General features: G+C 35.9%; 1 protein-coding gene across 39 annotated transcripts in view, besides 1 other annotated feature; it reads right to left on the reverse strand.

Moving 5' to 3' along the window:
• MAP7 (microtubule associated protein 7) overlaps positions 1–12,232 on the reverse strand; it is a 207,689-nt gene that overhangs the window by 109,672 nt on the left and 85,785 nt on the right. The window lies entirely within an intron of this gene.
• Positions 11,103–11,272: an enhancer, noted in NCBI's record as "experimental_90214 CRE fragment used in MPRA reporter constructs". NCBI's record gives its function as "activates a minimal promoter by MPRAs in K562 erythroleukemia cells, with activity observed for the introgressed 6:136784731 variant allele {active_cell/tissue: K562}" and the evidence as "EXISTENCE:reporter gene assay evidence [ECO:0000049][PMID:34662402]".

Raw genomic sequence — 12,232 nt, forward strand, 5'->3', positions numbered from 1 at the left:
TGTAGGTAAAAAGCTATCAAACAGCATTGCATGCTGCAGAGAAATGAAAGGAAGAGTCTACTGATGCAATCAACTTCACTGCTGTCTTAATGTTTATGACTCTCTAAAGGCTCAAATGATCATCAGCACTTTTTAGCAATAATTTTTTTTTTAATTTTTTTTTTTGAGACAGAGTCTTGCTCTGTCATCCAGGCTGGAGTGCAGTGGCACGATCTCGGCTCACTGCAACCTCCATCTCCTAGGTTCAAGTGACTGTCGTGCCTCAGCCTCCCGAGTAGCTATGATTACAGGTGCACACCACCATGCTCAGCTAATTTTTGTATTTTTAGTAGAGATAGGGTTTCACCATGTTGGCCAGGCTGGTCTCGAACTGCTGACCTCAAGTGATCTGCCCTCCTCGTCTTTCCAAAGTGCTGGCATTACAGGCATGAGCCACCATGCCCGGCCACTATTTGTAATGAAAATATGTATGTTGTTTTTTCAGACATCATGCACATTTAATAGACTACAGTATAGTGTAAATATAATTTTTATATGCACTGGGAAACCAAAAAATTAGTGTGACTGCCTTGTGAAATTCACTTCATTGCAGTGGTCTGGAACTGAACCCAAAGTATCTACAAGGTATGCCTGTACTCTGGAGATTCAGTTGGTATTCCCTAGGCATCTCTCATGAATACGTGAAGTATATATGTTAATAAACTTCTGTTAGTTTTCTTTTGTTAATCTGAAGTTTGCCACAAGTGTTCTTGCCAACTGAGAACTCGGGAAAAGTTATGTTTTCCCCCATGCTAAAACTAACAAGCCACTGGAAATGAATGGAGATAAAAACCTTTCTATTTTTCTCGTGGGTATAATTTCAAAACATTCTGATGGCAGCCATTGGCTGTAAAACCTGTGTACAACATTCAGTGTATTTCAACAAAGCTTAATAATTAATGAACATCCTATGTCATTAATTTATAATAAATCCAATCTGTTTCAGAATTTTCAAATGCACTGCTTAAGATTCTGTCCCAGTGGTAATTAGCTAACAGTGACAGTCTTTAAATTCTTTTATTTGCATTTGTCATAATACGCTTTCCGGACAATCTAGTGAATGTTCAGTGAGTGACTTTAAGGGTTGTGGCAGTGGTCAGGCTATCTGATTACTTTCCCTAACGAGTGAGGAGCTTTTCTCATCATTAGAATACATGTCAGAATAGAGACTTCCTGCATTAGACACAAATAGGTAGAAATTTTTGTAATTATGCTTATTTTTACCATTAGGATTCCCAACAAATTTTGATAATTTAATTTGGTTCTCTTCCTTATGTTGATATGGAGGTACTGGATAAAATATTGATTTAATTTGGTAAATATTACTGTTATAATTTGGTAAAATAACATGAACTTTTATTTAAAAAGCAACTGAGTGCTTGCTTGGACACTGAAGAAATAGCTTCATAGTATTCAGCCAAAGCTGTTTATGACTGATACTTACATCAACAAATACAGACCACTTAATTTTAAATCTAAGTGTTCATCAAGAGAAATTAGTCTTTCTGAGGTGGGCTTTTTTTCCTTTTTTTGCTAGTTTTGCAATTATGCAAGACATCAGTAAAGTTGTTCCTTTTCAATGCCTCATCTCCATATTTACATTTCAACCACTTGGTACCTTGTCTACCGAGGAACATAGAGCTCAGAGGCTCTTCCCAAACTGCCAAATCCTCCAAAAACAGATATTTAATAGGGTTTACTCAGTTCCACAAATGATGAGCCAGCTACCACCCATCAGAATTCATTCATCATTGGACCTATTAAACCCATCAGAATAAAATGCTAATTTGGATTTAAATGCTCATGAAGACTTAACCCTACCTAAATGATCTATCTATCTATCTATCTATCTATCTATCTATCTATCTATCTATCTATCTGAGACAGGGTCTTACGCTGTCTCCCAGGCTGCAGTCCAGTGGTGTGATCACAACTCCCTGTAGCCTTGACCGCCTGGGCTCAAGCGATCCTCCCGCCCCAGCCTTCTAAGTAACTGGGACTACAGGCACGTGACACTATGTCCAGCTAATTTTTGGTAGAGATGGGTCTTACTATGTTACCCAGGCTGGTCTCAAACTCCTGGGCTCAAGCGACCCTCACGCCTTAGCCTCCCAAAGTGCTGGGATTTCAGGCATGAGCCACCGAACCTGGCCTGAAAATGTCTTTTAAATAGCAAACAGCCAGGTGCAGTGGCTCACGCCTGAAATCCCAGCATTTTGGGAGGCTGAGGCGGGAGGACCACTTGAGCCCAGGAGTTCAAGATCAGCCTGGGCAACACGGCAAGACCCCATCTCTTAAAAAAAAGTTAGCCAGGTGAGGTGACCCTCACCTGTACTCACAGCTACTTGGGAGGCTGATATGGGAGGATGGCTTAAGCTCAGGAGTTCGGGACTACAGAGAGCTATGATCATGCCACTGCACACCTGCTTGGGTGATAGGCCAAGACTCTGTCTAAAAAATCAAAATAAAAAACATCTCCAGTTACCTTTCATCCAAAGGACTACTTGAGATGTTAAATTTGGCCAAGAGAAGAGACACTAGGAGACAAAAATTGCCTTAAACTTATGCTACTCCTTAAAGACTATATAGTACATAGTCATGAGTTTAGAACTACCTTCACCTATAGTTGAACTATCCCTTTCTGGATCCTTGGTCAGACAGTCCCTCATCTTTCATCTAGTGTGTACTCTGAAAAGGAATATTAGACATGTGCTTCCAAATGTAGCAATGAAAACTCTAGAAATATGAGTAGTAGACAGGTAAAAACAGCAATATGTGAATATTAAAAGTGTTATAAAGAATATTATATAATGATAAAAGAGTCATTTCACCAGGAAGATAGAATAATTATAAATATATATGCACCCAATATCTGAGCATCTAAATATATAAAGCATACAATGACAGAACTGGAGAGAGCAATAAACACAATACAATAGTAGGAGGAAATCTGAATTCCCCACTTTCAGTAATGGCTAGAACAAACAGACAGAAAATCAATAAGAAATAGGGGACTTGAAAAACACGATAGACCAAATGGACCTAAAAGACATATATAGAATATTTCACCTCAGAGCAGCAGAAGTGCTATGTTCCAGGATATGTCCCAAAACAAGTCTTAATGAATTTAAGAAGACTGAAATGACACCAGGTATTTTTTCTGAGCACCACAGGATTAAAGTAGAAATCAATAGCAGAGAGAATACAAGATAATTCACAAATATGTGGAAATTAAACAATATACTCTTAACCAATGAATGGGTCTTTAACAACCAACAAATGGGTCTGAATATGTTACCCCAAATAATCTTTATTTAATGGATTTTGAGCCAAATGCCACTGAGAATCAGCAGACTCAATATGAAGCTCTAAAATCAAGGCACAAATTTTCTTTTTGTAAAGGAAATTTATATTTAAATAGAAAATTTCCATTTGTAGAGATATCTCCCTCTAACTCAGTAGGGATATGATAACTCCTAACATATCAATGGAGAAGACATCAACTTAAATGTGCATACAAAACCTTACTAAACAACCCCTGTTTATTATACTTTTCCTGGTCAATTTCCCATAACTTGCTTACCCAGCCACAAAGCCCCAAGCCTCCACTCCTTTGTTTTAGTCTAAGACAGTATTTAAGCTCAAATTCTAAACACCCATTTAGGTTACTCATAGCTGTGTGCTCCCAAGTGTACATACATGATGCACATGCTAATAAACTTCTGTTTGTTTTTCTCCTGTTAATCTGTCTTTGGAAAGATTAAGCTGGAAAACCTGAAATGAGTAGAGAAAAAGACTTTTTGCCTTTCCTATAGGGAAATTATAAAATATCTTGAGACATAAGAAAACAAAAATACAACATGCCAAAACTTACGAGATGCAGCAAAAGCAGTGCTATGAGGAAAATTTATAGCTATAAATGCCTACATTAAAAAGAAAGAAAAAGGCCAGGCATGGTTGCTCATGTCTGTAATCCCAGCACTTTAGAAGGCCAAGGTGGGAGAATTGCTTGAGGCCAGTAGTTCAAGACCAGCCTGGGAAACATAGGGAGACCCTGTCTCTACAAATAATAACAAAATTAGGTAGGTGTGGTGGCATGCACCTGTGGTCCCAGCTACTTGGAAGGCTGAGGTGGAAGGATCACCTGATCCCAGGAGATCAAGGCTGCAGTGGTCCATGATTATGCTATAGCATTTCGGCCTGGGCAACAGAGTGATACCCTGTCTCAAAAAGAAGAAAGAAGAAAGAAGAAAGAAGAAGAAAGAAGAGGAGAAGAAAGAAGAGAAGAAGGAAGAGGAGAAGGAGGAGGAGGAGGAGGAGGAGGAAGAAGAAGAAGAAGAAGAAGAAGAAGAAGAAGAAGAAGAAGAAGAAGAAGAAGGAAGAAGAAGAAGAAGAAGAAGAAGAGGAAGAAGAAGAAGAAGAAGAAGAAATACTTCAAATAAAAACAAAACATTATACCACCAAAGAGCAAGAAAAAGAAGAACAGGGTATAAAGCTAGTGCAAGGAAGTAATAATGATCAGAGCAGGAAAAAAAAGGAGAATATAAAAACACTGGGGAAAAAAACTCAATGAAACAAAGTTTTTTTTTTAAAGACAAAATTGACAAACCTTTAGCTAAACTAAAAAAAAACTCAAACAAAAAAAAATCAGAGATGAAACAGGAGATATTATAACTGATGCCACAGAAATAAAAAGGACCATAAAAGGCTACTATGAACAATTAAACAATTATATGCTAACAAGCTGGAAAACCTAAAAGGAGGAGAAAAATTTGTAGAAATACAGAACCTACTAACATTGAATCATGAAGAAATAAAATATCTGAACACACCTTTAAATAGTAAAGAGATTGAATCAGGAATTAAAAAAAAAAAAAATCCCGCCCCCATCCCCTGCCCCAAAAAAGCTCAGGACCAGATGGCTTCACTGGTGAATTCCACCAAACATTTAAAGAATTAATGCCAATCCTTCTCAAACTCTTCCATGAAATTGAAGAAGAGGGAACACTCTTGAACTCAAATTACGAAGCGGTGTTACCGTTACCCCATAGCCTAAGACACTACAAGACAAGCAAACTATAGGCCAATAACCCTGATGAAGACAGATGCAAAAATACTCAACAAAATACTAGCTATCTGAATTCAACAGTATATTAAGGGAACAAATGAGATTTATCCCTGGGATGTAAGAATGGTTCAACATACACAAATTAATAGATGTGACACACCATAGTAACAGAATGAAGGATTAAAAAAAACACATGACCATCTCAACAGCTACAGAAAAAGAAATTGACAAAATTTGATATCCTTTCATGACAAAAGCTCTCAATGAACTAGGAATAGAAGAAAATTTCCTCAAGATAATAAAGGCCATATATGAAACCTCACAGCTGACATCATCTCAGTAGTGAAAAACTATACCTTTAAGATAAGGAACAAGGCAAGGATGCCCACTCTCACCACTTCTATTCAACACAGAGCTAGAAGTCCTTACCAGAGCAATTAGGCAAGAAAAAGAAATAAGCACTGAAAAGGAAGAAGTAAAATGTGTTTGTAGATGACATGATCTTATTTGTAAAAAAAACTTTTAAGAATCCACAGAAAAACTGTTAGGACTAATAAAGGAATTCAGTGAAGTTAAAGGATACCAAATCAACATACAAAAACCAGTTGCATTTCTACATACTATCAACAAACTATCCAAAAGGGAAACTAAGAAAACAATCCTATCTACAATAGCATCAAAAATTACTTAGGAATAAACTTAGCAAGGTGATGAAAGACTTGTATACTGAAAAATCATAAAACGTTGATTAAAGAAATTTTAAAAGATACAAATAAATGGAAAGATATCCTATGGTTATGGATGGGAAAACTTAATATTGTCAACATGTCCACACTACCCAAAGCAATCTACAGATTCAATTCAATCCATATCAAAATCTCAATGGCATTTTTTACAGAAATAGGAAAAACAGTCCTATAATTCATATGGAACCCCAAAGACTCTGAATAGTCAAATGATCAGGAGAAGGAACAAAATTGTAGGCATCACACTTTTCTATTTCAAAGTAGATTACAAAGCTATAGTAATCCCAACAGTATGGTAATGGAATAAAGACATATAGACAAATGGAACAGAATAGGGAGCCCAGAAATAAGCCCACAAATATATGGTCAACTGATCTTTAACAAGAATGCCAAAAATACACAATGGGGAAAGGACAGTCTCTTTAACAAATAATGCTGGAAAAACTAGATATCCGCATGCTTAAGGAAGAAATTAGACCTATACACAAAAATCAGCTCAAAATGGATTAAACACCTAAATGTGAAGCCTAAAAGTGTAAAACTTCTAGAAAAAAAGATAGGGAGAAGGTTCATGACAGTGGTCTTGGCAATGATTTCTTGAGCATGACATCAAAAACACATACAATAAAAGCATAAATAGACCACTAGGACATAAACTATAAGGCTTCTGCACAGCAAAGAAATCAACAGAGTAAAAAGGCAACCTACAAAATGGGGAGAAAATAATTGCAAACCATATCATCTGATGAGGGGTTAGTATTTAAAATTTAAGGAACTCTTACAACTCAACAACAATAAAACCAAATAATCAAATTTAGAAATGGGCAAAGGAACTGAATAGACATTTCTCCAACGACAACATACAAATGGCCAACAGGTATGTGAAAAGATGCTCAATACTACTAATCATCAGGAAAATCCAAATTAAAATCCTCATGAGCTATCACCTCACACCTGTTAGGATAGCTATTATCAAACAACAACAACAAAAAAAGATGGCCAGTGTTGGTGAGGATATGGAGGAACTGGTACCCTTGTACACTGTTACTGAGAATGAAAAATGGTGCAGCCACTATGGGAAACAGTATAAAGGTTCCTCAAAAAATTAAACACAGAAATACCATATGATTCAGCAATCCCACCTCTGGATATTTATCTAAAATAACTGTAATCAGGACCTCAAAGGGATATGTACACTCACATACTTACTGCAGCATTATGTACAATAGCCAAGATATGGAAACAAATTAATTGTTCATCTACAAGTGAATGGAAAAAGGTAGTATGTACATACAAGAGAATATTATTCAGCCTTTTTCTAAAAAAGAAAGAAATCCTGCCATATGGATATCTCTATTGGACATTATGCTATGTGAAATAAGCCAATCACAGAAGGACAAACACTGCATTATTTCACTTATGATGTATCTAAAACAGTCAAACTCATAGAAGCAGAGAATAAAATGGTGGTTGCCATGGGCCACGGGGAGGAGAAAATGCGGAGTTGCTATTCAATGGGTATAAAGTTTCAGTTATGCAAGATGAGTAAGTTCTAGAGATAGGATGTACAACATGATGCCTATGGTTAATGATCCTGTATCGTACACTTTAATATTTAAGAGGGCAGATCTCATGTCAAGTATTTTTACCACAATGAACAAAACAGAGCTATAGTATATTATTATATTGGCATAACTCTAGGAAAGTAATTTAGCAATATTTATCTATTGTCATGAAAAAGTTCAAAATTGTTGACTCCACAATCCCACTTTTGAGGCACCCACTTTTGAATCCCACTTTTGAAGGACCAACTTAACAAAATGTTGTAAGATGTGGAACAAGTCTTATACCTAAAGACATCCATTAAAGTAACATGTGTAACTGTAAAAAAGCAAAAGCAGTAATAGTCAATGGGGGACTATTCCTTCCATGGATTTGTATCTAACCAGTGAAAATAAATGTATTTAAAGTAAGTCAGTACCATGGATAATTTCTCATATAATATTTAATAACAATTATTTGATTATTAATATGCACATTGATGCTGAGAGGGAATACATGAAAATTGCTAAAGCTGCATTAGGGTGAAGAAATTATGGATGATGTTTCTTTTTGTTTTTGCCAAAATTTCTGTAATGCTATGTTATATTTGGATCATTAAAATAAATACATTTACTTATTATACACATGAAGCACTGTTTATAAAAAGATGATTGGAAAACAAACATTTTTGTCAGCTGAAACTGGTTTATCTTCCTAATTCGTCACCTAAAAACAGTTTACATATCATAGAAAGCAAAAGGAAACAAGCCTGCCCTGTAGTTTTTCATTTGGAAAGACTGATTTCTTCTAGGTTAGAAGGGTCCTCTGTCACACCTCATCCTTCAATACAAGCAGATTTACAATTTCCTGGGCTGTGACTTGTAGAATGCAGCCTCACTTGCCATCCTGGGACTAGACTCTTCCTTTTGGGTTGAGGTAGCTGTAGAGTTGCTGTCATAATAAACACCACAGTGAAGCAACATCCAAGGTGCATCTGAAGATTTTTTTTTTTAATTAACTGCTTTAAACCCACAGAACACTTAATTTAATAGTTCCTGAGGAATACAGCCCTCCACTAGACCCAATGAGAACACATCATTTTCATTATACTTGTCCTAAGGTATATGGACCTCTTAGGTTCCAATAACAGGACTTCAATCAACTCAGTTGCTATTGGGTATAGCGAGCATAACTTACATGAAAAGGCTAAAACCCTCTATACAGCTGACACAATTAAGAATTTCTCCATCTTATTCCTAACAGCTCCATTTTATCCCATTGTACACCTTAAAAATATTTAAGAAAATACATAGTCAAGGATATAATTAAGAAGTATTTACGAAAACTCCAAACTCCATGTTTTATAACTAAGAGAATTCTCACTTATGTATAGCTACAATTCATGTAAAGAAACAGCTTTTGCTTAGTTATTGATGATTTCACCTAATTTGAATCCAAACAAAAATCCTGAATGACATATTTAATTTTTACCTCGACAATGACTGAAACATTATTACTGAATACTTACATATTTAAATTGTGTATTTCACTTATGAGAAAAGTAAAAATACAAATTTCAAGATCTCAAAGCAAGAAGGCTCAATAAAACATTATATAAAAATGTTGATCTTTGACTATTTTATAACTGTTATGCTAAAGAGAAACATGAAACCTTTGCATTGTTAATATTAGATCAAGTAAGTAGAAAGCTTAAATATTAACATTTACCTTCCTTGGTCCTTCATCGCATGTTACTTGCTATTCAGGCCACATGAGTTTATTGTCTGTGATATTAGAAACACACTTATATAACCTAATGGGTTACGATCCAGAAATGGATTAAGGCATTATCTTTTAAAATGGAATATGCCTTGCAGAAAAGTATCCTCTGATTGAGAATACTGATGCCTTTAAGGACTGTTTGGGGTATTTTGAAGAAAACTATGGATCAACACATATAACTGGAAATATAGTGGAATTTACTCATACGCTTTTAGGGTTTTCTCTCTAAACACTATTAGGAGTTTTAGATTTTGGTGAACAAACTGCCTTGGGTATTAAAAAGTAGAAAAACTCCTATTTATGCTAAGTAGTCATATGCTATTGGTTCAAATCTGTATTCTCACATATTTTAAAACTTTAAGTTTTAAAAGGCCAATTGGCTTGTAGTTCACTTAAAATGTATTTATTTATGTCACCTTAAGGCTCTGATTAAAAATAAATAAATTACATTGTCAAGATGGTATATCAAGCCAGGCATAGTGTCATACTTGTAGTCCCAGCTGCTCAGGAGGCTGAGGTGGGAGGATTGCTTACTTGAGCCCAGGGGTTCCAATCTAGCCTGGGCAGCATAGTAAGACCCTTCTCTTAAAAAAAAAAAAAAAAAGATGGTATACCAGTGGTTGCACTTCAGTACAAAAATTTCAGTTCAGAGACTAGTCACTAAAGAATGACTCAGTGAAACGCTATGAGAAAGGATTGGGGGCTTTTAATGTATCATTTATATCTTAGACTATAAATGGTAAATCTCAGAACTTGAGCATTTTTAGGTTGTGTGACAGTATGTATTACCAACTCAATGTCCTTCCTGATTTAAGTTTCTCCCAGTTCTTTCATTTTATCTCATTTCTAGAACATACACAGCAGATTTTATGTTTAAACTTGAGCAACTCTTTGCCTGGACAGCATAGCAGATTCACAAGCAACACATTTCCTAGAAAAAGAATCTCTAAGTTCTGTCCTTGACATGCCCCTGCCAGTGCTCTTTGCCTGTGAATACCTAGGTGGAGGGAAAGTTAAACTCCATTTAACCGAATATACTTTGAGGTCTCAGGAGGTTTAGGTGAGTGGATGATGGTATTTAAAACTTTAATTTTACAGGCTGAGTGTGGTGGCTCACACCTGTAATTCCAGCACTTTAGGAGGCTGAGGTAGGCGGATCACCTGAGCTCAGGAGTGTGAGACAAGCCTGGACAACATGGTGAAACCCTGTTTCTACTAAAAATACAAAAATTAGCTGGACATGGTGGTGCATGCCTGTAGTCCCAGTTACTTGGGAGGCTGAGGTGGGAGGATTGCTTGAGCCTGGGAGGCAGAGGTTGCAGTGAGTCAAGATCGTGACTCCAGCCTGGGCGACAGAGTGAGATCCTATCTCAAAAAAAAAAAAAAAAGAAAACAAAAAACCCTTTAATTTTATTGATGCATGTTTCAAAGACCACCTATTCTAAATATCATAAGGCTCAGAAAAGTAAAAGTTATTGAAAATCAAAGAATCATTTTCTTTGAGGAAATTTCCACCAGAGTTTTATGCAGCATAGTTGTAGTCAATTAATACATCTTAAGAGTTTGGCCCCATATCATTTAAAAGGCATACCATATACACAATGATACTTATGAAGAATTAAAATACTAACCAGAAATACAATTTTCATTTATTGAATATCTACTATGTTTCAGAATGTATTAAATGCTTTAAATACTTTGTCTCATTCAATTTACTGCTCACAGTAAGACTGCATAAAGACTGCATGTTAGGAAATATTCTCCATACCCTATAGAAATGGAAACTGAGGCTCAAAGAAGTAATTTGTCAACATAAATGGCTAAATTGTGAATAAAATCCACATCAATTTGACTTTAAAATCTATTATCCTAACCAATATGCTACAATGTTTTCTAAAGAATTTTTTTTTCCAAAATGTTCTTTAGTCTTTTCACTGTTTTGCTGAGGTGTTTTTTCCACCTTAACTAGTGATATTTTGGCAAATACACAATATAAAGTCAAAATTTTTAATCTTATTAAGGAAAGAACTTGCATTGTTTTTTAGTTTATATTGGAGTAACACTGTATAATTTGCTTTATGGGTTATAGATCCTTTTCTTGTGCATAACTTCCTTGATCATCTTAAATTAGGGCCACTTTATAAAGGAGGAGACTGAGGCTCAGGGAGGTTAAATGAGATTTGCCTGTGGTCAGGCAAACATGAAGTGTTGGAGCTGAGTTTTGAAATCTAGTTTTCTGACTTTCAAGTACAACATTCTGTCTTCTTGGTAAAGGTACAGAGGCAATGTAAGTTTGAGAACAGCTAGTGTTCGAGTGCCTTGCTTAACAAGATTTGTAGCTTCTAAAAAATATGCCAACCATAAAACGCCTGGTAAAAGAGCTTGAGTTGGCCATACCACATGACCTTCATTGTGTATGTGGAAGGGGCTGCCCTCCTGCAGTGGCTGAGCAGAACGTTGGCCTCACCCAGGCTTCAGACAAGGAGAGATGTTATTCGGCCTGTGACCTGGCATTTCACCATGAAATTATCTTTCTGGAGTATTCAATTTAACTATCTTTCATGAAGGAAGTAAACTTCTTGATTTTTTCTTTTCTGCTTGAAACACTGTTTGAATCATCTATGATAACAGAAGATATTAACATTGCATGCTGACTTTCTTTTCTTCTTCCAAAAGTTAGAACAAACCAGTAGTGGTCTATCAACTACAGGAGTTATAATTATCCATGGTTTCACTTTCTGAGGTTCCTGCTACCTGTGGTCAACCACAGTCTGAAAATTGGTGAGTACAGTACAATAAGATATTTTTGAGAGAGAGCGAGACCACATTCACGTAACTCCTATTACTCTATATTGTTATAACTGCTCTATTTTATCATTAGCTATTGTTGTTAATCTCTTACTGTGCCTAATTTATAAACTAAACTTTGTCATGGGTATATATGCCTAGAAAAAGACATAGTACATACAGGGTTCGGTACTATCTGCCATTTCTGGCATGCACTGGGGATCTTGGAACCATGGATGGAAGGACTACTGTACAAAAACAATTAGCA

Source organism: Homo sapiens, chromosome 6, assembly GCF_000001405.40.
Source record: "Homo sapiens chromosome 6, GRCh38.p14 Primary Assembly".
Taxonomy (NCBI): Eukaryota; Metazoa; Chordata; class Mammalia; order Primates; family Hominidae; genus Homo; species Homo sapiens.